Raw genomic sequence first — 2,403 nt, forward strand, 5'->3', positions numbered from 1 at the left:
AAGTTCCATCCTCCGACAGACAAGAGAGTCTTCAGGTTGGGGTTCCTGTGGAGCACAGGGAGGTGGGGAGGGCAGGAGTGGAATGACATTGTCATGACACTGGGTGGCCCCATGTCTGAGAGGCCATAGAAGGTTTCCTGCTTTGGGTGAGAGGCTGGGTTAGGCCGCTGATGTCCTCCCATAGGACATCATGGGAATCCCATAGAGATTCATAGTGGTGGATCTCTGAGGGGTCACAGGCTTCATGGGAGTTACTCTGAGGTCTGCTGCCCATTTTTGTTTTCCCCAGTGGAGAAGACAGAGTATGGCAAAGTAGAGTCTTGCTCATTTTCCATGCTCCCTGGAGAGCACGTTAGGGGCAGGAGAGGGTTCCCCTCTCCCAGAGGGGCTCAGCTGCGCTTCCGTCTACAGTCTCTCATCACCCCAAATATTGCCCAGCACCTACAGTCATCCCCTCCACCCATTTAAGCCAAGCCCCTCTAACTCTCCAAACATAGGTGAGCAGGGTGGGGCCTCGCCCTTCCTCCTGGGTGGGGTTGCCCTGCCCTGGGACCAGCCCAGCTGGTCCCTCCTCTCCTGGCCAGCCCTGGCCCAACCTGTTCTTGAGTGTGTTGAGCATGCCGTAGAGCGTCACATCATTCCACTCCCAGGTGTCGATGTGATCGTTGCTTATATTGGCAAAGCTGTAGATGATGTGGGTACAGAGGAAGCGGTCAAGGGCATCTGGGAAGCAGCTCCCATCGCCTTCCCGGTACTGGGACCAGCTGGTGTAGTAGCAGACCAGTTTGTATGCAGAGCCTGAAGGAGAAGTCTGGGATGGGGCCCGGGCCAGGATTCGGCAAGAGACCTCAGGCTGAGCCCAGAGCTGAGCACCAATGGGGTGTGGGGTTGGGTAGGGAGGAGTGGGGTGCAGATTGTGAGCAAAGTCAGAATTCTTAAATGAAAGGAGCTGGTTCAGGTCCCCCTGCCTCTGGGGAGTTCCCTGACTGGTGAAAATAAGGCCTATTCTGAAAATGCTTAGAAAAGATCCAATGCAGGGGATGAATACGCTACAGGCACTGTGTGGGGGAAGGGTAGGAGCTGGGGAATAAGGATGAAATGGGACTTGGTGCCAGCACAGCAGGCTTCCTGGAAGCAGTGGCTTTGTGGGAGGGGAAGGCCCAAGATAGCCTGTGTCACAGATGGCCCTGGCTTTCAGGCTGGCACCTTTAGTGACCTGCAGTGAGGTCCTTCATCCATGAGGGACTCTGGCCCACCTTTCTCTGCCTCCTGGTGAGAGTGCCTCTAACTTGTAACCCACCCGGAATGGCAGTCCTGTGCTCCCTCGGCATGTCCCCCAGGCTGGGGCACAATATCACAATGGACCAGGAAATCCTTCCTCGCCTCTAATTCTGTTTCTCCTGCTGCAAACAATGTGGGCATCACTCATCCAAGCAGCTACTGGGCAACTGTACTAGCGGCTCCCAGGGGCTGTTAGTCAAAGCCTTCACTGAACCAGGACCTTTTAAAGTTTCTTATTTTGAGAATTTTCACATATACCAAAGAGTATAGCAAAATAAACATCCATATACTCCTCACTCCAGTTTAGCAAACGTGACTATTTCGAAGTCATTGGAAGCACAGAAGAACCTGGCAAAGTGTTCCCTTGGAGCTAAGACCTCCTCCACACCTGCCCTGTGCCCTCGCCACGCCTCTGGACTTAAAAGTGGAGGTGGAGGGATTACTCACAGCACTGGAGCAGCACCAGGACCACAAAGCCTGAAGAGAAATCCAGGATGAGACCCCTGCAAGTGCATCCTGCCCTTCCGCCCTGCTCCCTCCCCCAAGCAACTGAGACCCACCTCCCCCACCCCCACCTCCTGGTTGCAGCCTCAGTCCCTCCCCTGGCTCTGCTTCTCCTCCCCCTCTGCCCACTCCCTTAGTCCCTCACCCAGCAGGCAGATGGCTCTGCGGGCTGTCTGGGCCTGAAAACCCACAACTCTGATGGATTAACCTTGGCTAGCCCAGATACCTGTTTGAGACGCCTTCACACCCATTCTGGCTGCAGCAGAGCAGGGCAGGGTGTGGCCTCTTCCCTTGCCCACGGCTCCTGGTGCCAGCTACCTAGACAGGGCCTCTTCCCCAGGCCCTGTACTTCCTTTATATACCTGTCCCACTCCACTCCCCGACGCGGCAAACCAGCCCTTTTATGGGAACTGAGCTATGTGTCAATGAAGGAATCACGAGGCTGGCAAGTGGAGGCGGGGGAGTACTATGGATTACCAGAGGAGGGTTGAGAAACCGCAGAGTTTTGAAAACTTTGGGTCAGGTCTTCATGAGGCACCTGCCAGCAGAAGAGCCACTAGGGTGATGATGGGGGGCTTCTGGAGATGTGACTCAGCCGCATTTCCCAGCCTTCCTCCC

The 2,403-nt window shown here is 55.4% G+C and overlaps 1 protein-coding gene across 8 annotated transcripts in view; it reads right to left on the reverse strand.

Moving 5' to 3' along the window:
- CHI3L1 (chitinase 3 like 1) overlaps positions 1-2,117 on the reverse strand; it is a 7,774-nt gene extending 5,657 nt beyond the window's left edge. For all 8 annotated transcript variants that reach the window (XM_047442848.1, XM_047442846.1, NM_001276.4 and 5 more), the window contains exons 1-4: positions 2,012-2,117; positions 1,729-1,758; positions 597-798; positions 1-45 (exon numbers count right to left, since the gene is read on the reverse strand). The exon at positions 1-45 is cut by the window's left edge and continues 12 nt beyond it. In XM_047442848.1, the coding sequence (XP_047298804.1) occupies positions 1-45; positions 597-798; positions 1,729-1,758; positions 2,012-2,036 (302 nt within the window). In that variant the 5' untranslated portion in view covers positions 2,037-2,117. The remainder of the gene's footprint in view (positions 46-596; positions 799-1,728; positions 1,759-2,011) is intronic.

The sequence above is a fragment of the Homo sapiens genome, chromosome 1 (assembly GCF_000001405.40).
Source record: "Homo sapiens chromosome 1, GRCh38.p14 Primary Assembly".
NCBI classification, from domain to species: Eukaryota; Metazoa; Chordata; class Mammalia; order Primates; family Hominidae; genus Homo; species Homo sapiens.